Genomic DNA, 23,901 nt, shown 5'->3' with positions numbered 1-23,901 from the left:
GTAGTCTAGCATTGGAAATAATCAGATCAGTCATGCAAATTAATAAGTACATAAGGTCATATCCCAAAAGATAATAGGGCAGTCATGTACAATAAAAGCTGCCAGAAAGAGTGGATTTTAAAGGGAAAGAAAAATGAAAGAGCCAGCCTAACTCTGGGCTCTTATAAAAGTTATTGATGTGATCTGTTGTTAGGTGTGCAATCTCCCCGCACTAGTGTTTGGGAGGTAGCCATTCTCCCAACCTCATAGCAAGATATGGACTACCCTGTTAAGAGCTTTAAAAAAAAATTAAAATTAAATAAAACAAAAGATGACTTTTTTCAAAGCACATTTTAATCATTTATTTTAAAAGGGGGAGTAAAGCATTTAAACTGCCAATCCTATAGACTAGGACTTGAACATCAAAGGAAAAATAGACAAAGACTAGATGATAAAGTCATTCAAAAGCACAGAAGCACATCACATACACCAGCAAGGTTTCCAACTACTGCACTGATTAACTAGATACTCTCAATAGCTTTTCTATAGCTCGTCCTAGAAAAAAAAATTAAATTTTCATTTTCTTACAAGTTCCAGGCTTAAACAAAGGCAAAAATTACATGCAACAACTGATACACTCATAAGTTGCACATATGCTCCAAGGTCTTTATTAGATAACAATAAATGCTAGCACTTTGTCACTGCCATCAGATTTTCTTATAGTCTTAGAGTCATGTAAATAAAAGTTCATAATGAAATTAAAGAAAATTAATTTTTCTAATCTTAGATCAGTTCCATAGAAAACTATTAATTTTTTTAAAGTAGGCAGTAGAAGGGGGTTGGTGGGGGGTGGAATTGGTTAGTAAGTCTGGTTCTAATCTTCTGAGCTGCCTTTGGAAGGAAGTTATGAGGTAGAAGATTCTACTGACTTTTAGTAAGGTGGACAATGAGAGAAAAGAAAAAGCAGGTGCCTCATCTACAGATCCTTCTGGGATTTATTTGCCATGTACAATTTAATGCATAAAAAGGCCTCTCTCCATAAAACTCAGCACTTTACAGATGTAGAATATATAAGCATGCCAAATTTACTTATCTGCCACATACAAAGCATCATTCCAGGTGCTAGTGAGGGGAAAAAAAAGTTGGAGATTTGGTCCCTCGAGGAGCTCCAGATATTAATCTACCTAACTAAGTCCCCAGGTTTCTTCCAGGCATGGAAGAATTAGTGGTGCTACATGGATGAGGACTAGTCATTGGGCAATATTTCCTGTACAAAGAATCCCTAGACGCCATACTGAGTTTTAAGTTCCTTAATTCCTAATTTAAGGCTTCTAGTGAAGCCTCCTCACAGTAGGCTTCACTAGGCCCACAGTGCCCCTAGACCTCTGACAATCCCACCCTAGACAGACTTTATTGCAAAATGCGCCTGAAGAGGCAGATGATTCCCAAGAGAACTCACCAAATCAAGACAAATGTCCTAGATCTCTAGTGTGGTAGAACTATGCACCTAAACATTGCTGCAAAATGAACACACTTTTAGACACCCCTGCAGATATCTAAGTAAGTGGAGAAGACTATTTTTTCAACAAACATTTTCTCTTTCACCCTAACTCCTAAACAGCTTACTGGGGCTTCTGCAAGACAGAAAGATCATAATTCAGAAGGTAACCATCGTTATAGACATAAAGTTTCTGGTCAAAAGGGTTATAGTTAATGCTCTGCACTTTTTCCTGCATCTTATGCATTACAATGTCTAGTTTGCCCTCTTTCCCTGTGTTTGTGTCATAATAGTAAAAAATCTCTTCTGTTCTGGTGTTCATAGTACGGGTGGCATACAGAACCCCACATACCATGAAGGCGTTAGAAGCAGATGGTTTATACTGCTTGGTATACCAAGTGTTTAGCACCTGAAGTGTGGTGTCATTGAGTTTACTAATCACCATGTTACCAGTGCTGGCTTCAGTTGAATAAATAACCCACAATCCATTCTCATCCACAGCAAAGTCAATATCTTGCCAAGCAACATTAGCATATGAAAAGCGGTTATTATAGGCAGCATTAGGGAGAGTTTGAGTCACAGCAATCGTGTTGGTGGTCAGGTTAACTCTGGCAATATTCCCGGTGTTGTACATGTTGACGTACATGTTGTTGTTGTAAACTGCTGTACCACTACCTTGGCCATAGGTGATCCGCAACTCTCGAGCATTTATATACAATAGCAAATCATCCAGTGTGTTGTACAGTCTATAATACTCCAACAGTCTCCCATCTGTATTCAATGGCGCCACCCAATACAGTCCTTTGTTTGGATGCTGGGGAGAGTAATCCCTACCCCAAGCACCATATAGATAAGAAAACCCTCTCCAGTTGAGCTGAACCACAGACGGTTTGCTGATGTTCACCACACCACCATGACCACAGCTCCCTATACAAACAAGAAAATAAAAAGGCATTTTTAGAGAAAAGGAATGACAGGATACAAATAGTTTAATATCCTAAGCACCAAAGGAATCTATAAATATTTTTCCTGTCAAGGTTCAATAACAACAGTGGTTCTGATGGAGAAGAGCCAAACCTCCTCTTAGTTCAGTGCATTCAGTCTCAATGCAAACCCAATGTCAGCTCTACAGAGAACTACATTCTGTTTCCATGGGTGGGCTTTCAATCTGGAAAATAGGAATAATGAAACCAGCAAGAACTATATTTAAAAAGTTTGGAGGCCCAGAGAGAGGAAAGGGAGACTTGGTGAATTTAATATATTTCCTTCTATCAGAAAGCATTTTGCAAATATTATCTTATTTTGTTTTTCTTATAGCAAAATCAAGGAAGCAAGATTATTCCACAATCCTACCCTATTTCTATAAATCCACAAGATTTATAGAAATCTATCCCAGAAAGAATAGTGATGAGGGAGAAGATTTTCCCAGGCAAGGCTTCATGCCCTTCCTCACTCTCCCCTTCCTTGGGACCCCCAATTGCACATCCACGCCAGGTACCAATCCTGCTTTAAGCTATTCTCAGAAGAGGATGTTTTAAATATAGCATTTTATAGATCCAGAAAGATGGTCCTATAATGGTGGGATTTCACCCTTGAGAAGCCATAAAGTTATTTTGGGGCAACATTGCCTGCTCCGTACCCAATGCACAGCCCATCAATAAATCACTTGCTGACCGTCCTGCTGCAGAGTTACATGGTGAGTCCTGCTGTTCATAACCCATATGCTATTGTGCCATAGAATGACATGCAAGTATTTCATCTTTCCATCCAGACACTGTCATTGTCACAATGTGTACAATCAAGTGGGACAAGATTCACTGGTCCACTGAATCTACATTCCCTGTAACACTTGGGTAAATAACTCAGTCTGGGCGATCAACCCTTCACATTGTACTCCCGCTGAAATGCCTGCCATCCCAGGAGTTTATGAGCTATAAAAATAAAATAAAGTTCCTCCAGTATTTTTATAATAACTATCCAAAGAGTTGAACACACATTTTCTGGGATCTTAACACTCAAAAAAACTCATGAGATGGTTTATTGGATAACAAAGAAAACCCAACTTCAAGTATATTTGAGGTCATTTTCCCTCGTCCTGCTGCTCAGAGCAGAGCAGGTGAGACAGGAAAGGAGCAGAACCTGAATTGTTGGATTTGGCCTGAAATACTTGCAGGGACTCAGAGAGCCATTGAGGAACATGAGGTGAGCTGGAGCCAAAAGCAGAGCTCCAAAGAATTGCCTGAGATTAGCATGGAGGCGGGGAAGGGGGAGCAAAGCCTTTGTCTCTGGGTCTCTGCTGTGTCCAATATGGAAAGACCCATTCCTTTCCTTGCTAAATGCTTTCCCTCCCCATCCTCCTCACCCAAGGACTGCTCAAAGGTGAAACCATTACTAGAAATTCTGTTTTTATTTTTCCAATCGGCTGGGGCTTTTTGGTCCCAGAATTAAATATATGCTCCTTAAATGCTCTCATAAATCCACAGTTGGTGAGAAAGCCAGCCAACCATACAACAGGTAGAGAAATGAAACCACTCTGTATCCAACCTCAAATAATTTTGCATATCATTAAGCAGAACACAGTCACAGGTTTATTTTAATAATGCATGTGCCATTTCATAAATAAAAAAGCAACGTGTTTTCAGCCAAGAGACTATTCTCCACTGAAGAAATAATAAATAAAATTATAAATTATTATTTCTTCTACTAAAAGTGATCTCTCAGATGAATGCTTGTTTGCTTTTGTTTATGAAACAATGCATGAATTATTAAAATAAAGTTAGCGGTGTGTTCAGTTTAATGATAACAAAAACTGTTCAAGTTTCCATATGCTACAAACTGGATTTTCTAGCTAAAGTATCTTCCTGAGAACTTATTTATTTAACTACATTTCACTCTGAGGAAAGTCACTTTTTTTTCTTTCAGGTTGGAAGACAATAATTGTTTGCTTCATTGAGTCTTGCCTTCCTGAAAAGAAAATATCCCAAACCGACAGCAACAAAATATTTAAGGAAAATTGATGATGCATATAACTTATTCAAGCACTACCAAGAGGTTAAACTATTCTGTCCCCAGATGTGGAAATTTTTAGACATGAAGGAACCAAAATAAACTTCTCAAAAAATTACTATTACTACTGCTATTATCATAAAACTAATTGCATTATTATTAGTATAATAGTATTAGTACTATTACTATTGTTACTACTACTAATAGTAATAGTGGCTCATCATTTCATAAGTTGACCAGAAAATTCAAATTGCCCAGTGTAAATATTAAAATGTATGAAACTTTGTTTTTCTCACCTCCCAAACATTCCTAAACACTTTCCTGTTCATTTGTTATCCTCCTTTTATCCTCTATGGGTAAGGATAAAGGGCTATTTTTAGGGCCCCGGCTGTGGTAGAAAGGAAGTGGAAATGGGGATGAGAACTCAACATTGCTGCCAATGCTACAAATGTGGCCACAACAATGTCAGACCAGGAAAAATGCTATGGCGGGCTTCCTCGACTCCTGGCAGCAAACCATCTTGGACACGATACTGAAACTGACAGCCAGTCCAGTGCCCACTGTTCCTCAGAGTCCCCATCCCCCCATCCCATCTTCACTGAGCTTCTCACCACCCTCCCTTATCTCATGCTCCTTGCCAGCCCCTTCCTTCATGTCAAGGTCTTAGACATACTTCATTCCATACTTCATACCCAGTTTCCATCCCAATTTCACCCTGACACTTGGGCAACAGCCCATTGCCCAATCATGATCCAAGAATTCTGAAAGACCATTGAATCATTTTGCATTTTCTGGTGGAAGAGAACACACAGCACAGAACTGTCAGGAGCAACAGTACCCTTTTACCTACTCCACTACCAAGGAAGCAAAAATAATTTGGTGTTAAGCAGATAGGTGAGTTGTTGGAATTTTCTTTTCACTCCAGAAATCACAGGTGCACCTCTCTGTTAGAGCAGCTATGGAAGGCAGCCTAGTATGGAAAATACTACTAGACAGATTCTAATTCAAAGCCTGATTCCAACAGTAGTTGTGTATCCTTGAGCAAGTTACTTAACCTTCTGAGCCTCAGTTTCCTCATGTCAGAAGAAAAATAATACCAACTCTGCAAAATAGTTACGAAAAATACAGAGAAGACATGTAAATGTTACTCAGTAAATGGTAAATATCTCAATATAATCACATCATGTTACAACTGGAGGTTTAGATGTCTCATTTCCTAGATAGTGGCTTCTGGAGGTTTCTTTACTCATGCTGGTAACCCCAGTACCCAGAACAGGGCCAGCCACACAGTGGCACCAAATTATGTTTGTGGAATAAAGGAATGAAAGATTAATCAAGTCACCTAAACTCAGCTTACCCTTATTTATAAAACACTAGCCTTCTACCCTGCTACATATCTGGTTTTTCAAAAAGCCTGGCATTTACTCCATGGAACATAATTTGAGGAACCCTCTATAGAAGTTTAGCCTTGGTTGGCACTCTCTTCATCATGCAATTCATTAGATGGCACCATGGTACTCTGAAAATACCTGAGGAAGCCATAATCATGAGAATTTAAAATATTCTGACTTGGCTTTTTAAAAGTATCATGGTTAGTAGCATTTTTTTGAAGCCAATAATTATATGCCTACAGAGGAAAATTAGTCTTGGATCTATTAATGCACTCTCTCAACTGGGCAACTGAACTTTGTTTGAGCCAGGAGGAGAATATGATTGACTTATAAGAATTAGGCAATTAAAACAATCATAGTCATAAAATGATTAAGACTAAATTGACTCTGAAGTGTTGGATATATGCTGTTCAACATGTGGCTCTTCCCTAAGCTTGAGATTTTAGCAGGTCACCCCATTTCTTTCAGACCCCATTTAATCATCAGCTACTTACTGAGCATCACTATGGACCAGCACAGAACCTTGCATCCCCAAGCAAACTGGAGATCAACCCCTGAGCACCCGATCACATTTGGCCTATATACAGTCATTTAGATTCACAGGCAAAACAGAGACAGACTGAAGTTTTAAGGGAAAAAAGTTAATGAGTAGAAGGCCAATTATTTTAGATTAGAAAGTTCTATGAAATGAGGCAGAAAAAGGACGTTGTTTGTAGCAAAAACCAAATAGGAAGCATATTTTATTGAACCTGGGATACATTCACTTGTTCTAAGTTCAAGCTGACCACTGGGTCAGCAAACTGTAGCTATAAGGGAGGGGGCCCAGAGAGCGCAGAGTTACTTTAGAGCTGAGACTTGCATATAGTCTTTTTTATTCTGTGCAACTCTGCAGTGAAAAAAGCAGACAGGCCAGATTTTAAAGTCCCATAATAGAGAATAACTTTAATTAAAGTCTCCACAGGCTCACAAGTTTGTGGTGCTTGGGGATTTTCCAATTCTGCATTATCAACCAATCCAAACAGAAAGAGAGCAAGTGAAAGAAATTGATTTAAAAACATGACCAAAAGTCAGTTTAATATAAACATCATAAATATAATATGAACAAAGCTGGAAGAGAGCCAAGTGGCTTGGCAGGGATTCAGGTACAGCCAAGGTTGTGGGAAAGTGAGTAAAAATCTGGGTCCAATTTGCTTAAACAACACAGCTGGGCTAGGATGGATCACAGAAGTCTAAGTGTGAGGGCCTAGGGGAAAGTTCTGGGAAAAAAAAAATCCAACAAAAACAACCCAACAGGCTCACTTGTTTTCTTCCCTGGATACTAAGCAATGCATTTTCTCCCCACCGTTGTCCTTGGATTACTGCTGCCTGACACCTTCGGTCCTGAACTGACCAGGGAGCAAAGACCCTTGCCTTGCAGCTTCTGCTCTGTCATTAACTACTTGTGTGGCCTCAGGAAAAGCAGCGTTCTTACCATCCACGTCTTCTCCTCTGAGACAAGACGAGGCTAAGTTAGATGGCCCTGAATATTCCTTCATCTAAAATGTCCTCATTCTAAGGGATGCATAGAAAATTGTGCCAGAAAAATCTATTCCATGAGGAGGATTTGCAAGGGGTGTTGGGGAGCTCGTTCAGGGATTATCAGGAGTTGTCATTGCTTCAGCCTCTGCCTCAGTGAGTCCTCTGTGGTCCACCAGAAACAGCTCTCATTTGCTACATTTTTGCACCACTAATCCCAGACTAAATTTAGCCTTAGTTTATTACAGAGGACAGACCATGTTGTCTGCCCTAAACCTCCTATGCAGGATGCGAAATTTGAACAGTTGTTCAAATTTATGTCACCTCCTTTCTGGAGAAGTTGAAAGGCCATTTCATTCTGGGGCAGGATTCTAACCATTAGATGACACCTGTCATAGTAGGACACACTCCTATTTGCAGAGGGAGGAAAAAAATCCACCTGAAGAAGACCAAGAGGCTTATATCTATGGCTATACCTATTTAATAATTGAAGCCTTAAAAAATCAGTTACAATGACAATAATCCAGAAACACAGTCTAAAAGAAAGCAGGTGTGAGGATTGGAATTCATAAAAATAAAAGGATTGCATGATTTGATGAAAAGATACAGTCCCCACTCAGGCTAAGATGCTCAGGACCTGCAGAGAGAAGGTCCCTGTGTCATTGATATCTCTAAAGGATGGGGCTGAACACTGTGGCTGAGAGGCTTTAGTTTACCTGAAGGAATGCATTGCAGGGCACAGTAATCTGGCACTGCTTTTGTTTTGCTGCAAGGCTTTCGCTTCAATTATCAACATTATTAACAATATCCATTGCCAGCGTGTGAGTGCCGATCATAAGGTTCCGAGCTTCCCAAGCACTGACTCATTAATCCCCACAGCCACCCTGCAAGGCAGGCACTATTATTCTCCCATTTTACAAATGAGGATATTAAGGATCCTTTTTGCTGCAGCCACCTAGCTGAGAAGCTCAGGTCTTTGGAATTCTAAAGCTATGTTCTTGTACCCTACACTCCACTGCCTCTGTTCATGGGTATATTTGCAGAACACCCACCTCTGTGCTGTACTTAACCCCAATGAGAATTCATTAAAGACGAACATGCCACCCCTACTCCAAGAACTCACAATCCATGAGGAATGGCAAGACACACCCACAAGCACATGATATGTGGGGTCATTCCTTTAATCCTCACTGAATCTCAGGACACACAATATAGCAGGTGCTCAGCATGCATTTATAGGAAGAAAAAAGAAAAAATTAAAGAGAAACAGAAGGAGAGAGAGAAGATGGCAGCATCAAAGGCATAAACCCAGCTCATCAGATAAGTGAGCCAATCAGTCCTTAACTCCACAGGAAAGTGGATGCCACACACAGATTCCAGAGGCTTTCCCCTGAGGCCCCTGATAGGGCCTCCATCACCATAGAGATTTTTGTTCCCTGTTAGAAAATGCAAAGAGAATACGTGTAACTCGTGGATTTTGCTTTAAATCAACTCATTGTTTGTGCTCTTCCTCTTTGAAACCCAGAATATGATAGCATGTAGAATACTTGGGAGGAAGGGAATTTTAAAACATGGAAGAGAAAACTGAGAACTGAAAAAAAAAAAAAAAAAACAACCCACCTTCTTCTTTCACCATTGCAATCCCCAATCCCTTCCCCACCCCACTCACAGCTCCTTATGGGGTCTGGCACAAGTGGTTAAAAAAACTGGCATGCTTACCTGGAGTGGGAGGAGGGTGGACGACAGGGGTGTTTTGATCTTTAGAGGCCTCACACTCTTTCAGCTTGGTCTTCAGAGCCACGATTTCTCGGCGAATGGCAAGGACATTGTTTTTGTCTAGTGTCTCAAGCTTCTCTACCAAGAGAGTCATATTTCTTATCTAAGGAAATAAAAATTCAGAGTGACTTTATATTATGGTGCAATTTCTTTCATAAACATTCCAGGGCTGAATTTGTCATTTAGTGAAACATTGCCAGAGAATACACCAGAGATTCTTCTGAATGGTTTCATTTGGAAGAATACATTTTATGGTTTAGCATGAATGCCTGTCAGATCTCAGGCAGATGTGTGTGACAAGAAGAAAATGGCAAAGATTTTAATAGCTTTAATAATAGAGCCCAAGCTCATCCTCAGCATCCACAAATGTCCATTAAAGTTCATTTCTAATAACCTTCCCCTATAAACTTGTGTTTACTCATGTTGTATTATAATTAAGATTCTAATGAATGGTGAGGGCCAGAGAAAGCTTAAATTCTAAAATACGTAACTAGAATTCTCAATTATAGCCCATGTCATGACTGTGCTAGTAAATTTTTGTTGATATAAATTACCCAACCATAACGTTAATGTGATGGTCTTTATCCACAGATCTTAAAAGGCTTTACAGAAATATACAAGAAATTTCTTAAAGGGGGTTTCCAGTTTGCAGAGAAGGATTCCAGGTTATTCAAAAGGAGAAACAAACCTAGCAATTTTACCACAATCAGGTATATTGTGGATTTCTAGTTCCATGAGGATAAATCTAGAGCAGAGAAGACACCTCATATAGCTTGGCCATGAACCGTTGTTCAACTTTATGCCAGCTCCTTTTCAGAGAAGTTGAAAGGGCATTTTATTCTGGGGCAGGATTCTGACCATTAGACAACATCTGCTCCTAAGTCAGCACATTCCCAATGTGCTTAACTTACTATTCAAACACATGCCCTTATCCAAAACAGAACATAGTGATATGCCATGTGGCCATGAGACAGTAGAGAATTAGAAGTTGGAAGAGATAGTTTCACTTCCTGGTACTAGTACTTGCTTACAGTCACTGAAGGGAGTTTATTATTAATTTACCAAGAAGTGAGTTCACTCCTTACCTCCACCTCCAGCTGGTCAACAATTTCTGAGCTTCCACCAAAACTCTCCTTCAGCTGTATGACCAGTTTTTCCATCTCCTTCACTTCTACCTTGATCAGCTCGAAGTCCAGTTCAGTGTAAGAAATGGTATCCTTCTCCATGATGTCAATTCGGACAGTTAGGTTTAACAGTTTCTTTTCATACACACTAATTAATTGGACATATTCCCTCACCTGAAAGAAAATCAAAAGGTTCAAGCCAATTCCCTGAGTAGTATCACACCATCTTCTTCCACTACCGAGCCCTTGAGTTGAGAACTATTTGATTCTTGCCAATCATTGTGTTTTGTAAATAAATAGATCAAAAATACATTTAACTAGATTTTTAAAATCTATCCATATACAAAGAACTTATTACTCCAATTGAAGGGAGGTAGATTTTATACTTTGCTAGGCTAAACATAATTTTGCTTCAGCATCATCATTTGCAGGTATATTTTAATCTCCATTTTTTAAAAAGGTTTTAGGCTCAGGGGTATATACCCAGGTTTGTTATATAGGTAAACTCATGTCATGGGGGTTTGTTGTAAAGGTTATTTTGTCTCGCAGGTACTAAACCTAGCACCCAATAGATTTTTTTGTTGTTGTTCCTCTCCCTCCTTTCACCCTCCACCCTCAAGTACGCTTCTGTTGTTCTCCTCTTTGTGTCCATGTGTTCTCATCATTTAGCTCTCATTTATATGTGAGAACATGTGGTATTTGGTTTTCTGTTCTTGTGTTAATTTGCTTCGGAGAATGGCTTCCAGCTCTCTATCCATGTTCCTACAAAGAACATGATCTCATTCTTTCTTATGGTTGCAAAGTATTCCATGGTGTATATGGCCCATATTTTCTTTATCCAGTGTACCATTGATGAGCATTTAGGTTGATTTCATGTCTTTGCTATTGTGAATAGTACTGCAATGTACACACACGCCCATGTATCTTTATGGTAGAACAATTTATATTCCTTTGGGCATATACCCAGTAAAGGGATTGCTAGGTTGAATAATAGTTCTTTTTAGTTCTTCGAGTCACCACACTGCTTTCCACAATGGCTGAACTAATTTACACTCCCACCAACAGTGTATAAATGTTCCCTTTCCTCTGCCATCTCACCAGCATCTGTTATTTTTTTACTTTTTAATGATAGCCATTCTGGACTGGTATGAGATGGTATCTTACTATGGCTTTGATTTGCATTTCTCTAATGATCAAGTGATATTGAGCCCTTTTTTCTTAATCTCCATTTTAATGTTTGAAGACATTAACTCCCCAAACTAAACTGGTTTGTATCATAGTCTCTTGCCATCTCTCCTCCCTTCAACACACTTACTCTAATTGTTTCTCAACCTCAGCACTGTTAGCATTTGGGACTGGATTGTCATTTCTTGTGGGGGTTGTGCTGTGAATTACACAATATTAAGCAGCATCCCTGGCTTCTTCATGCCAGTTGCATCCAACCACTCTCCAGTTATGATAACCAAAAATGTCTCTGGGCATTGCTAAATGTTCCCTGGGGACAAAATCGTTGCCACGGCCAACACCACCCTCCTTCCATTTAGAAACATGGCTCTACATCTAAGTATTTTCTGGAGAAGGGAGAAATGCGCTATGCCGAATTCCTTCTTTGATCGCCATATACAATTAGTTTTGATCCCCTCTGCCTTTTACAAAGTGGCATAGAGATCCAACCTACTACACAATATGTGAGTGTGTGTGCCCTGTAGAGTACACATTTCATTAAGTGCACCCACATTTATTCCAAGAACTGATTATTGCAATCAGACCTTTAAATTACAGATTTGTTGCATATATTTGAATGTCTGATCATTAAGTTAAAATACTTCCAAAAATTCCCTTGGCAGTTTAGTGTATAATTGGAATATCCAAGTGGATATTTTAATAAACACAGTTGGTGGTTCTTTCTGTGTCTGATCTCTAAAGAAAATGCCATGGCTTTTTTAAGGACCTGCTCATTAAATAAGTTGCTGGCTTTATATGCTTTTTAAAAATTTGAACTGAAGTGATACTTTTCCCAAAACTACACTAATATCAAGTAGCTGATCCACAGTGCCTGGATGAATTTAGAGCCAGATGTTGGCCTTTAATCCTTCTTATACCAAAAGCAATCCTAACTTCTGTCATTTCAGCCCTTCCACTTAACCCCATTGTGCAAATTAAAGTAGACTCATAGACCACAGACCTGAAGGGCTAGGGCTTCAGGCAAAAAGGATTTTAATGAAAGTCGAAAAAACAGTCCTTGGCACTGCTAGTGTATCTCCTCGGGCAACTGATGCTCACTGCCATTGGATGTACCATAACTCGGAGGATGACAAAGCTGGTGATATTTTGGTGGATAGGGAGGTTAAAACATATATACGGCCACCTCTTAGTATCCATGGTGGATTGGTTTCAGAACCTCCCAAGAATAACAAAATTCAAGGATGCTTAAGACTCTGACAGAAAATGGTACAGTATTTGCCTACAATCTACACACATCCTCCCAAATACTTTAAATCAAGTCTAGATTACTTATAATACCTAAAACAATGTAAATGCTATATAAATCATTGTTGTATTGTTTTTTATTTGTATAGTTCCTGTTGTTACATGGTTATTTTTATTAGTTTTTTTCCGTGAAATTTTTCAATCTGAGTTTGGTTATATCTGCAGATGCGGAACCAAGGCTATGGAGGGCTCACTATATATAAAACCTAACAAGTCCCCCTGAGAAGTGCACTGCAGATATAGGGCTGCCAGGTTCCAGTGTCTACAAAACTCAGGCATAAAACCTTGACTATGATAAAAATAAATAAAGTGCCAATCCATTACAGAAATGGAAGTTTGAGAAATAAATATGCTTGTTGGCATTTGGCCTTGCCAGCTCTTGGAACAAATGAAACACCCTCAGCTTCTCTGGAACATTTTGGTGGCACATCGCAGCTGTTGTTCTACAAAAATGAGTGATTCAACTGTCATCTCTGCTAAATAAAATGTGGTTCTCCTAGATTTTCACAAAAAAAAGCAAGGCATATTCTGGAGTTTGTTACCTATAAAAATGTGTGGTGTGCCTGCCCTGGTGCAGACAAAATGAAGGGTCTGTAAAGATCCATTTGAGGAAAAAACTCAAGGTTCTTCAGCTGACACTTAAAGGATGCTCAGTGGTGTTCAGGAAAATGGCAATCATCCATGGAGTTAGAGAAGACACAAAAGAGCTTGGGGATGGGCCAGAAAGACTTCAGAGTGTGAACTTTACTAATTTAAGTAAATCATTCATATGAACTTTTCACATATATGAATCTGTAGCTTTGGGAATGCGTGGACAATGCTGACCACATGTCAGCTCCTCCTGGGAGGTGCAGTCTTGGGAGAGGCAGCCCAGCCTGCCTGGGAGCCTCCAGTCCCACATCTGGCACTTGGGGCACTTTCTGCATTTTTTTCTTCTTCTGGAAAATACAGTCATTTGCTGCATAACATTTTTGTCTATGACAGACTGCATATATGACAGTGGTCCCATGAGATTATAAATATCATATTTTTACTGTACCTTTTCTATGTTTAGATATATATGCACACACAAAAACTTACCATTGTATTATAATTGCCTACATTATTCAGTACAGTCACAGGCTGTACAGGTTTGTAGCCTGGCAATAGGCTATATCATATAGCCTGAGTGTGTAGTTGGCTACACCCTCTAGGTTTGTGTAAGTATACAATGACGTTCACCAATGTTAAAATCACCTAACGATGCATTTATCAGAACATGTCCCTGTCTTTAGCTGACCTATGGCTGTATTTTGATCTAGAAAAGTGGTTCTAAATGGAGGGAGGGCGGTAGTGGTGGTGATTTTGTCCTGGTTCTCATAACTGGGGGGTGGGCGAGTGCTATTGGCATCTAAAGACCAGGGACGCTGCTAAACATTCTATCAAGAATATGGGTCTAGCCTTGAGGAGACACGTCCTGTGTCAACATCTTTATCTCGAAGCTCCTCATCATGACAAGTCTGAGCACTAGATGGCTCATCTATGTTTTAGTTGAGCCTTTAAGCCACCAGCCTAACATTCACAGCTTCCATTTTATTTTGCTTGTTATGCACATACTATATCATTGATGAGGAATAAAATTTGTGTGAGCGTTGATTTGAGGGTGCCTGTTATTGTTCCTTATAATTAATGTGGTCTTGTAATAAATAAGGGTGTAGTGCTAGCAAGCTAAAGAATTAATCTGGTTCATGTTTCTGCCAGTCTCTCAAAACCTGTGATTATAACTATGGCCAGACTATTTGAAATAAGTACGTTTACTTTGCAACATACTACTATTTTCAATATATGTTTCAAAGTAAACGTAACAGGGTTCATTGAGCCTGGAGTGATTGTAAAGACATATAAAGTACTTTGGAGCTAGACCCAACTAGACTCAAATCTAACTTCAGTACTTAGTGGGCAAATCACTTAATTTCTTTAACCCTTAGTTTCCTGTAAACTGGGGGTAATGATACTGAGCTTACAAGATTATCATAAAGACTAGAGATAATGTACGTTAAGTGCCTAGTTAATGGAGGCCCTATGAATTATAGAAATTAATAGAGAAACAGTAATTTCAGCATTTTCCAATCTGACCTTTTAATTTATTATATTTCACTATACAAATACGGCTCAATCAATGTTATTTCTTTATGGGTTGCCTTAATGTCTCCTAGGCTGCCTCAACCTTCCCGTGCATGAGGATCTACTAGCAAATGTGTCATATTAAATAACTCATGCCAAAGACCATAAGCCTCCAGAGAAAGAGAAAATCCTGAGCTGCCTTTTGTGCCATCCCTTTCCTAAGTATAGTCACAAAAGGACATACCGTAAACAACAGAAAAGTATAAAATGCTTTCAGCATCTTATGCAGAGGCAGCTCCCTGTCTTCTCTGTGTACTGACAGACAATGAATCAATGTAAGGCAGTCAAAAACCTTTTCTACTGGCCTGTCCTAAACGGGCATTCTCCCAGGCCCCCGGATAAATGACAATTTTCAAGGCAACCTAGGGACAGCTGTAATAACTCACTTGGAAATTCGAAAGCCCTCAGCTAAAGGGATAACTTTGGATTTGAAGGCATTACTACTGCATCTCTTCCTGGGCCTACCTTGGAGGATGCTAACAGCATGGCCAAGAGGAAAGAGAGTTGAGATGATTTTGAAGACTCGAATTCTGACCTGGCTTAACCAGCCAAGAGAGGAATGACCTTGGGCAAGTCTCCTTACCTTTATGAACTGCAGTTTTACTGTCTCTAAAATGGGAGAGACAACACCTGGCCTATCTGCCTTAAAGGGTTACTTGAGAGGAGAGAATAGAACTGGAAGCATTTGAAAAAGCACAAACAAACTGCTACTATTATTGTTGTTATTATCACCTGTCACACTAAATCGATTATATAAATCCTAGCTAGCAGATAAACTTTTTTCTTAGGCCACAATCACAGTTTTTTTGGGATCAGAGCAGCCACCGACACATTCAGAACTAAAACTTTCCCACCTATTCTGCACTTCTTCCCTATCTGTCATTAGCAAAGCAGATGTTACCAGCCCCCCGTACAGTATTGGAATTAAATGTCCCATATTCACAAACCTGGCAAGCCACATACTCTCCCTGGAGCACATAAGGTTTCAAACTGCCTTTCACACTGCTGCCAGCAAAGACAACATGTAAATCAGTAGTTTCCACTATTTCAAAGCAAATGACTCTAACTGAAAAGATCTTTACCTAGGATTTTCCTCTACTTGTTATGTTTTTATGCATAACTTCTTATCTGTACTTGATTATGCTGGAATAAGGCTATGAATATTAATGGTTAGAATTTATAATTTAATGCTGTGCCTTTTCCACTGATTAATTCAAGGACATTATATTTCTTAAGCAGCTAGGTTTCTAGAGTAGTCAAACACATTTTCCTGGACACTCATTTAAACTTAGAATATTTATCTACCAATTCAGGCTGAAAGTAGGGTCTCAGCCTCATCATAATTTTTGTTTTAAAGGATAACTATGTTGGATGTTGAGGTGGCAAAGCTCAAATTTCTTAGGAAAACTTATTCTGAATCTTGCAGTAAAGCCAGAGCTCCTTGTAAATTAATGGAGTTGTATTAAATAATGCATAATGTGATTATAGACTAGCTTGGACTTCACCTGTGCAGAAAATAGGAACTTTTCTAATTGATTTTTAACTTGGGCTGAAAAGGTGGAAGGAGTCAAAACTAGAACACCAAGTCACATTGCTCCAGCCAGCCCAGAGAAAGGCAAACCCTTTAAGATAACTTCCTCTGGCTAAAGAAAAAAACAGTAATCAGAGTTCAAGTCAGTGTTTTTACCAAGGCTGAGAAACCTATTAGTCTTGATTCAAATTCCCAGGGAAGCCTTCAATTTTTGTCTAATATTGGACACATCAAATGTAATGTTCCTGCTGAGACAATAGAAGATAACCATCAAGAAAGAGATGGAGGGTGAGGATGGAAGTGGGGATAGTTAAAGGGTAAAAAATAAAAGTAGTTAGAAAGAATAAATAAGACCTAGTATTCAACAGCACAACAGGGTGACTATAGTCCATAATAATTTCATTGTACATTTTAAAATAAGTAAAAGAGTCTAATTGGATGGTTTGTAACACAAAAGATAAATGCTTGAGGGGATGGACACTCCATTTTCCATGATGTGATTATTACGCATTGCATGCCTGTCTCAGGGTATCTCATGTACCCCATTAATACATACACCTACTATACACCAAAAAAAAATAAGATTAAAAATAAAGAGACTACAACCTTGGATTTCACTTGGAGAAAATAGAAAAAAATAAAAGAGACTACAACTTATTGTCACAAAAAAAGAGAGTGAGGGGGAGAGAGAAGGAAGTGAGCAATTTGTAAAGATAAAAAAGGGTTAAAGGAAAGAGAGAGGGAGGGAGGAGGATGAGAGGGAGAGGATTTGAAGGAGTGGAAGTGGAGGAAGGGAAAAGAAGGAGGGAAAAAAAGATCATCTAAAAGTAAGAAAATACCCAAAAATGTCCCCCCCAAAAAAGAATTAACCAGGAAAGGAAAAGAGAGATTAGAAGGGATGAATAAGGGCAAGGATTGAGGCAAGAGAAATAAGAAACTAAAGGATGCAGGAATGGAATAGAAATAGAAGAAAAGGAAAAAGAGAAGGGAGATAGAATAGAACTAAAGGGGATAGAGGAGAAGAAAGAAAAGAAAGCAAAGCTTGAGGAAAGACCTAGAAGACCAAAAGGAAGAAGCAGCGTCAAAACAAAATAAAAATTGCAGGTTGGGGTTTGCAAGGAGAGCTCAAGGCTTCTTTCCAACTGCCTAAGTACCACAATACTATAGTGAGTTTATCCACGGCGTGAACAATTTGAACCCCACTTTCTTCCTGTGCTCTCATTTTCCCTGCCTTAATAAGAACTCCATTGGTGTCCTATAAAATAAATACTAAAATCACCATAGAATAAAAACGTGATGTCTTTGATAGTGAAGAATGATTGCTTATAAAATCCTAAATTAAAACACATTTTGTTTTGTTTCTCTTTATCAAGATATTGTTTGAAAAGAAAATGCTTACTTTGGAAAGTTCTTTCTCAAACTTCTGAGAAAGAACATGAGCTGTGAATTCCAAGCGTTCCACTCTGTCCACGGGAAAGGTGGTGTCTGGCAGGGAAACAGAGCACTGGCAGGTCCCACGGTCATCCACGGAGCCGGTGAAATTGGAAAACAACTGCAAATAATAACAAGTTGAACATCAATAACAAGCTGGAATCTGAGCTTTTGGCAACTGGAGTGACAGAAATTGGCTTGTCGAGAGTACTTACAGGCAAGTAAGTGGAGTCCAATACATAAATGAATAGAATCATAGAAACAAGCTAAAACAGCTTTGTTTTCACAGGTGGGGACCACCCAGCGTTTAGCCACATCGCCACTGGTTGTACGAAAACCACTACGCCAGCAGACTTTACCTAAAGGAAGATTCCCCATTCTCGAGGCTTTTTTTTTTTTTTTTTTTTTTTTTGAGACGGAGTCTCACTCTGTCGCCCAGGCTGGAGTGCAGTGGCGCGATCTCGGCTCACTGCAAGCTCCGGCTCCCGGGTTTACTCTATGCTCCTGCCTCAGCCTCCCAAGTAGCTGGGACTACAGCCCGCCACCACGCCTGGCTAATTTTTTGTATTTTCAGTAGAGACGGAGTTTCACCGTGTTAGCCAGGGTGGTCTCGATCTCCTGACCTCGTGATCCACCCACCTCGGCCTCCCAAAGTGCTGGGATTACAGGCGTGAGCCACCGCGCCCGGCCATTCTGGAGTCTTAAAGGAGATTATTCCTATCTCTATGCAAGGAAAGGGAAATAAAGAAGCTATGAGAGTGCTAAGTTTGAATTTCAATTCTAGCACTTGCTAGATGTGAAATCTCCTTAATTCTTAGTTCCTTCATCTGTAAAATAGAGATAACCTACTTCACAGGGTTGTCCTCAGTATTAACGAAGTAATGTGAGCCAAGTCCCTGGCACAGAGTAGGTGATCTGAAAATGTCACATTCTCTTTCCTTCTACTGCTCATTTTCTCTTCCTCACCTTCACCCCAACCCAATCCAATTCCTTTTCATCAGAATGAGGGAATCACCAAAGATGTGGGCTACAGTGAAAATATATGATGCAAATTCATATCCTCTCATCGCCTGGGAAATTGCAAATTAACATCCTTCAAAATGGGAACCAGCCATTTGTTAGAAAGTGAATAGCGTATGAGCTTGAAGGTTTTGTGCAATTTTTTTTAATAAAAGTTTTTTTCCAGCTTACCATTTGCAGAAAAAGTCATTTTAAAATATTTTATGTTCATTTAAGATATTCAGACTCACACTTCAGTGCCACCGCATATTTTTAAATGACACTTTTGAAAGATCCTGTTTTTCTTTTGTCCCCTTTGAACTTCCCCAAGAGGATCCCAGCACAATTAACATTTTTTTATTACTACTATTGCCTTACAGAGTAACCCTTGGCAGCCAATTTGCTGTGCCTTTTAATGATCTCATCTGAAAGCCAACCCAAAGCTCACCTGTGGAACATCAGCCTGAAGGGACTTTTTATGAAACCTCTAAGGAGACAGCAATGGTCTTCAGAGCCAGAAGTGACTCTGGCCATGTCTCTCAAAGTTCAGGTCAGCCAGCTGCAGGTGGTGTAATGGGTCCTGTGCATTTAATGGCCACCAACCTCCATAATGCCTGATCAAGCTGGGTCTAGATGCTTCTATAATGAAGACTTATTTTATCACTGGCCTCGGGGCCAATCAAGGCTTTTGCATCTAAGTTGTTTTTAATTTAATTTAAGTTTCAAGATGAGCAGAAAAAAAAAATATGTGTGTGTATCCAATCATATTTTTTATGTGTTTAGTCAAAATTTATTACCTTGGTCTCAATTTTCTTTTCCAATCACATCCCTACGTGGGAAACAGTTCAGGAGTAGGGAGGAGAAACAAGCAGATTTATGTCGAACATAGGGGTGGACAGCAGGGTTTGAATAGGGGAAGGGTCTTTGCCAGAGATGAATAAAGACTCGGTAAGATACACCAGGAACCTATCAGAGAGGCCAGCTTCCCTTGAAACCAGCTTTACTCATTTCTCCAAAGATAGAAAGACTCCAACTCAAGCATGCCAAGGCTTTTACAGAAAAGACCGACATATCAAGGACTTTTGAAGAAATAGCTTATTATAATAACAGTCTAGCAAAAAAAAAATCTTGCATTGCATTTTAACAAGGGGAGTTTAATTAGCTGCACAAACAGGGTTGGGCCATTCTCAGAGTTCTCTGAAAAATTCTGCCAACTCAGAAAACAGTGGATATCATCAAGCAATCTCTAGACAGTCAATTAGGAACCACTAGCTAACAACTTTTAGTCCTGAAGTTCACTTGAAAGACAGACAAGTAATTATGAGCCCTGCTGTCAGCCATTCCATCGGTTTCTATTGAACATCTCTGTCCCAAAGCTGTGGACTCCCCCAGCTTCCATCCTGCTTATCATCAGCCCAGCATGCTCAGCTGACATCAAAATGGTCCATAAGTTTGATCAGTGTCTCCCATTAGAGATATTTCTGCTCCTCGCATTCAAAGACAATGAAGCTAATGGTGATGAGTCTCTCTCTGCGGTGAATGCCCAAACTCTACATGAATGAAGCATGGGGGATGGGAGACAAAGACAAGAGCTTGTCCCCTTGGCCTTTGGAAGAATATGCGATTCCCCTTCTGTAGGGCAAATAGGACCCTGAGTACCTCACAAGACACCTTATATTGGTAGGTTTTCCCTAAGCACGTGTTCAATTAACATTTACTGATGTCTACACTATGCCAGGTTCTGGCTTTAGGGAGATGATTAAGACTCAATTTCTGCCCAGGAATCAGGCCCACTGTCACTCTGAAAGCCCTACTTGTTTTTTCAAACCAGCCTTGTAGCCTGATGACAAGAAAACACGTGACTCGTTGCAGTTCCAACTATACCAGTTACTCTGTGGAGTGAGCATTGAGGCTTTTCCTAGTCTTGTGAATTGAGGACCCTGCAGAGGCCCCTCCTCAGGAGGGAGACGTCTGAGGCAGAGAGTACTCTGAGTGCTTACAGCAGAAGGTGCAACTCACATTTAAGGTGATTTAATGTTGCAACTGGCTCTAATTAGTAGCCAAGGCTAAGTGTCAGCAAAGATTCAAGGTATAAAATAATGGTACTCAACATTTTCAAAGTACAGAAAATGATATGTTTGGAACTTACTCAATGACAGTTATAAAAGGGTTTTCTACCACCTTCCAAAGAGCTCATCAAGCTGACAGCCAGCCCCAGAAAATTAGGTTGATAGTGAAATTGACTCCTAGTCCAGTATAAAAAAAAAGTTGGAGTTGTGATACTGACTCACCAGGGAGAGATAAGTAAAAAGGAAAATTAAAACCTCTAAGTCCAATTTAACTACCATGTCTCATCTACTTTTAAATATCTGTCTTTTTACCAGACAATAGGCATTCTGGATTTCTCTGTTTCTTGATCTGTATTTTATTTTCTATTATTATAGTTGATAATCTTACCCAAATGCTGGTTTCTGACTGGTGATGGAGCTTCATAATAAATTATTATTGTTAACCTCAGTCCAAAAAAGAGTGCTAGACAATTCTGATCATCCCCAGAAATCATTGAGTATCACAGAATAAACTTATGTAACTGATTTCTGACTGCAAAGAATCCTTGTGCCTACTTATGATTCCCAAGCCTCCCTCCTCTAACTAAAAAATAAGCAATTTTCATCTATACTCCTTGGAAATATAGAAACCTATATGTACAGACATGGTGAAGAGAATGGACAGACTAATTTTGAGCTATATAACTTGCTAGCTTAGTGACTTAAAACTAATGACTTCACCTTGATAAGCCTTAGTTTTCACATCTCTAAAATGGGACCATTAATTGTACCTACCTCTTAGGGTTAAATAAGATAATACAGGCCAGGTGCGGTGGCTCATGCCTGTAATCCCAGCACTTTGGGAGGCTGAGGCAGGCAGATCATGAGGTCAGGAGTTCGAGACCAGCCTGACCAACATGGTGAAACTCCATCTCTACTAAAAATACAAAAATTAGCCAGGCGTGGTGGCGGGTGCCTGTAATCCCAGCTACTCAGGAGGCTGAGGTGGGACAATCGCTTGAACCTGGTAGGCGGAGGTTGCAGTGAGCCGAGATCGTGCCACTGCACTCCAGCCTGGGTGACAGAATGAGACTCTGTCTCAAAAAACAAACAAACAACAACAACAACAAAAAGATATATATTATGTACTTAACCTAGTCCTGGCATTTATTAGACACACAGTAAATGTTATTGCTGCTGTTTCTATCTAGGCCCTATCCAAATCATTTGTTAATTATCACATTTTTATTATCTGTAATTTCTGATGGTCAAAATAAAACAAATAAAAGTCTTTTCCTCCCCCTTCTCCCATTTGCCCTTCCATTCAAGCATGATAATGTAAGCAGCTACCTGACCTGTGAGGAAAGATCCTAGAGGCTTAGAGAGAGAAGCTTTGGCCCAGATAAGACTCCCCCACCCCAAGTTATACCTTAGCAAAAATAGCCTAGGAGGTTTGCAGAGTGGGGTTCCCGCAGAAAGGCCCAGAGTGAAATGAATAACTGCTTCTTACCTCCTAACCTCTCATGCCCTCCAGCCCATTCTCCTTTCTTTAAAGGAGATCCAAAGAGGACTCATCCCCCACGGAACTGGCTTACTATGCCTTCAATGCACTTAGCCTAGCTGTACCAGCCTCGTTGTAATGCATGACTTTTGGTTTTGTTTGTTTGTTGCTACTGTTGTTTGGAGCTGGAAATGGTCCTGAAGATTCCCTGTAAAGAAGACTGCAAAGAGTGAACACTCCCCTAGGCGAATGTCCACTGGTAATAACACTTTGCTAAAGACCAGTAACTCCCCCCTTATTTCTGACACCCACCTCCTTTATAAACCAGGCCAAGAGAAATGGTCAGGGCTTCAACTAGGGCACTGCGGCTCTCACTCCCTCGAGGGCTACTGTTCACCATTCCGGGATCCTGCCAGGCAGCAAAACAACTGGACAAACTTCCCAGAGCTGCAACTCACAGAGTCTTTCCCTAACAGTTCCCATCTTGGACTATATATTAGAATCACCTGGGGAGAGGTTTTTTAAAATATTTGATTTGTATACATCTATGTAGGATTTTTTTAAGTACAGAACCCAGGCATCTGTACTTTTAGAGTCCCCCCGGCCACCCATTCTAATGTGCAGCCAGATTTGAGAATTCCTCTAAAGCATAGATATTCCCAAAAGTCCCAGCTGGAGAACTGCGATATCGTCTCTCTTGCTAACAATTTAATTATTTTACTGAGGCTTTAATTCATTTCCGGGGCACCTATAGTTAACAAAATGAGTCGTAAATCTTTTAGAGTGCCCAGGTCTAGCCATCCATGAAATTGTATTCAGGTACCCAAAAGCAAATGGAAGGGAATGAATGCAGCTCATTCAGATTCTGGGGCCTCCTCACCTGGGACACAGAACCTCCGCTGCCTAAGCTGCGGCTGGAGCTGGAGCCCGACCTGGAGCTGGAGCTGAAGCTGGAGCTGGAGTCAACACCTGGGAAAGAGCTGAAGCCGGGGCTGGGAATTGGAGGTCCCACATCCCCCAAATCCCCTGCAGCTTGGCCAAGGAAGAACAGAAGGGCTAGGAGAAATGAGAGGCCGGGCCTCATCTTGTCCTCTTAGCTGGAGCCGCTGGCTCTGCAGAGAGCCCAGGGGCTTCTTATAGTGCCCAGTGGTGATTTCCCCATGGCCAGCATGTAGGAAAAGAGGGAGTGGCCAGGGAACGTGTGAACTGCCCCAGGAGGTTCAGGACACCCAGGAATCTGAGTCATGGCCCACACCTTGTCAGTGAGGCCCACTCTGTGAGCTGCCCTTGGATCCAGATATCCCCTGCCAAACATTAACTCAAATGTGCTTTGTAAAGCCCAATATTTGGTTTCCCACTTGGTACTTCCTTGAAAGAGATGAGACCAAAGTAGTCTTTGTGGATGACACAGAGTTTGGAGGCTCCATGGAGGAAAAGCAACCCTCAGTC

The 23,901-nt window shown here is 40.2% G+C and overlaps 1 protein-coding gene across 1 annotated transcript; it reads right to left on the bottom strand.

The window, feature by feature from the left end:
- Positions 1 to 315: 315 nt before the first annotated feature.
- OLFM4 (olfactomedin 4) lies at positions 316 to 23,560 on the bottom strand. Its single transcript, NM_006418.5, has 5 exons — positions 23,333 to 23,560; positions 17,873 to 18,025; positions 10,251 to 10,463; positions 9,109 to 9,268; positions 316 to 2,404 (listed from the first exon to the last, which is right to left on the bottom strand). The coding sequence occupies exons 1-5, from the start codon at positions 23,534 to 23,536 to the stop codon at positions 1,602 to 1,604; spliced, it is 1,533 nt and encodes a 510-aa protein (NP_006409.3). The 5' UTR covers positions 23,537 to 23,560; the 3' UTR covers positions 316 to 1,601.
- Between the last annotated feature and the right edge of the window lie 341 nt (positions 23,561 to 23,901).

The sequence above is a fragment of the Homo sapiens genome, chromosome 13 (assembly GCF_000001405.40).
Source record: "Homo sapiens chromosome 13, GRCh38.p14 Primary Assembly".
Classification (NCBI taxonomy): Eukaryota; Metazoa; Chordata; class Mammalia; order Primates; family Hominidae; genus Homo; species Homo sapiens.
This window is presented reverse-complemented; position numbering and strand designations above follow the sequence as displayed.

Bases quoted from the DNA above. Each gene is read 5' to 3' on its own strand.
- OLFM4 (NM_006418.5), bottom strand. From the start codon at position 23,536: ATGAGGCCCGGCCTCTCATTTCTCCTAGCCCTTCTGTTCTTCCTTGGC. The intron at 18,026-23,332 runs GTGAGGAGGCCC...TATTATTTGCAG, and splicing joins GCGGAGGTTCTGTGTCCCAG to TTGTTTTCCAATTTCACCGG. The intron at 9,269-10,250 runs GTAAGGAGTGAA...TTATTTCCTTAG, and splicing joins TTGACCAGCTGGAGGTGGAG to ATAAGAAATATGACTCTCTT.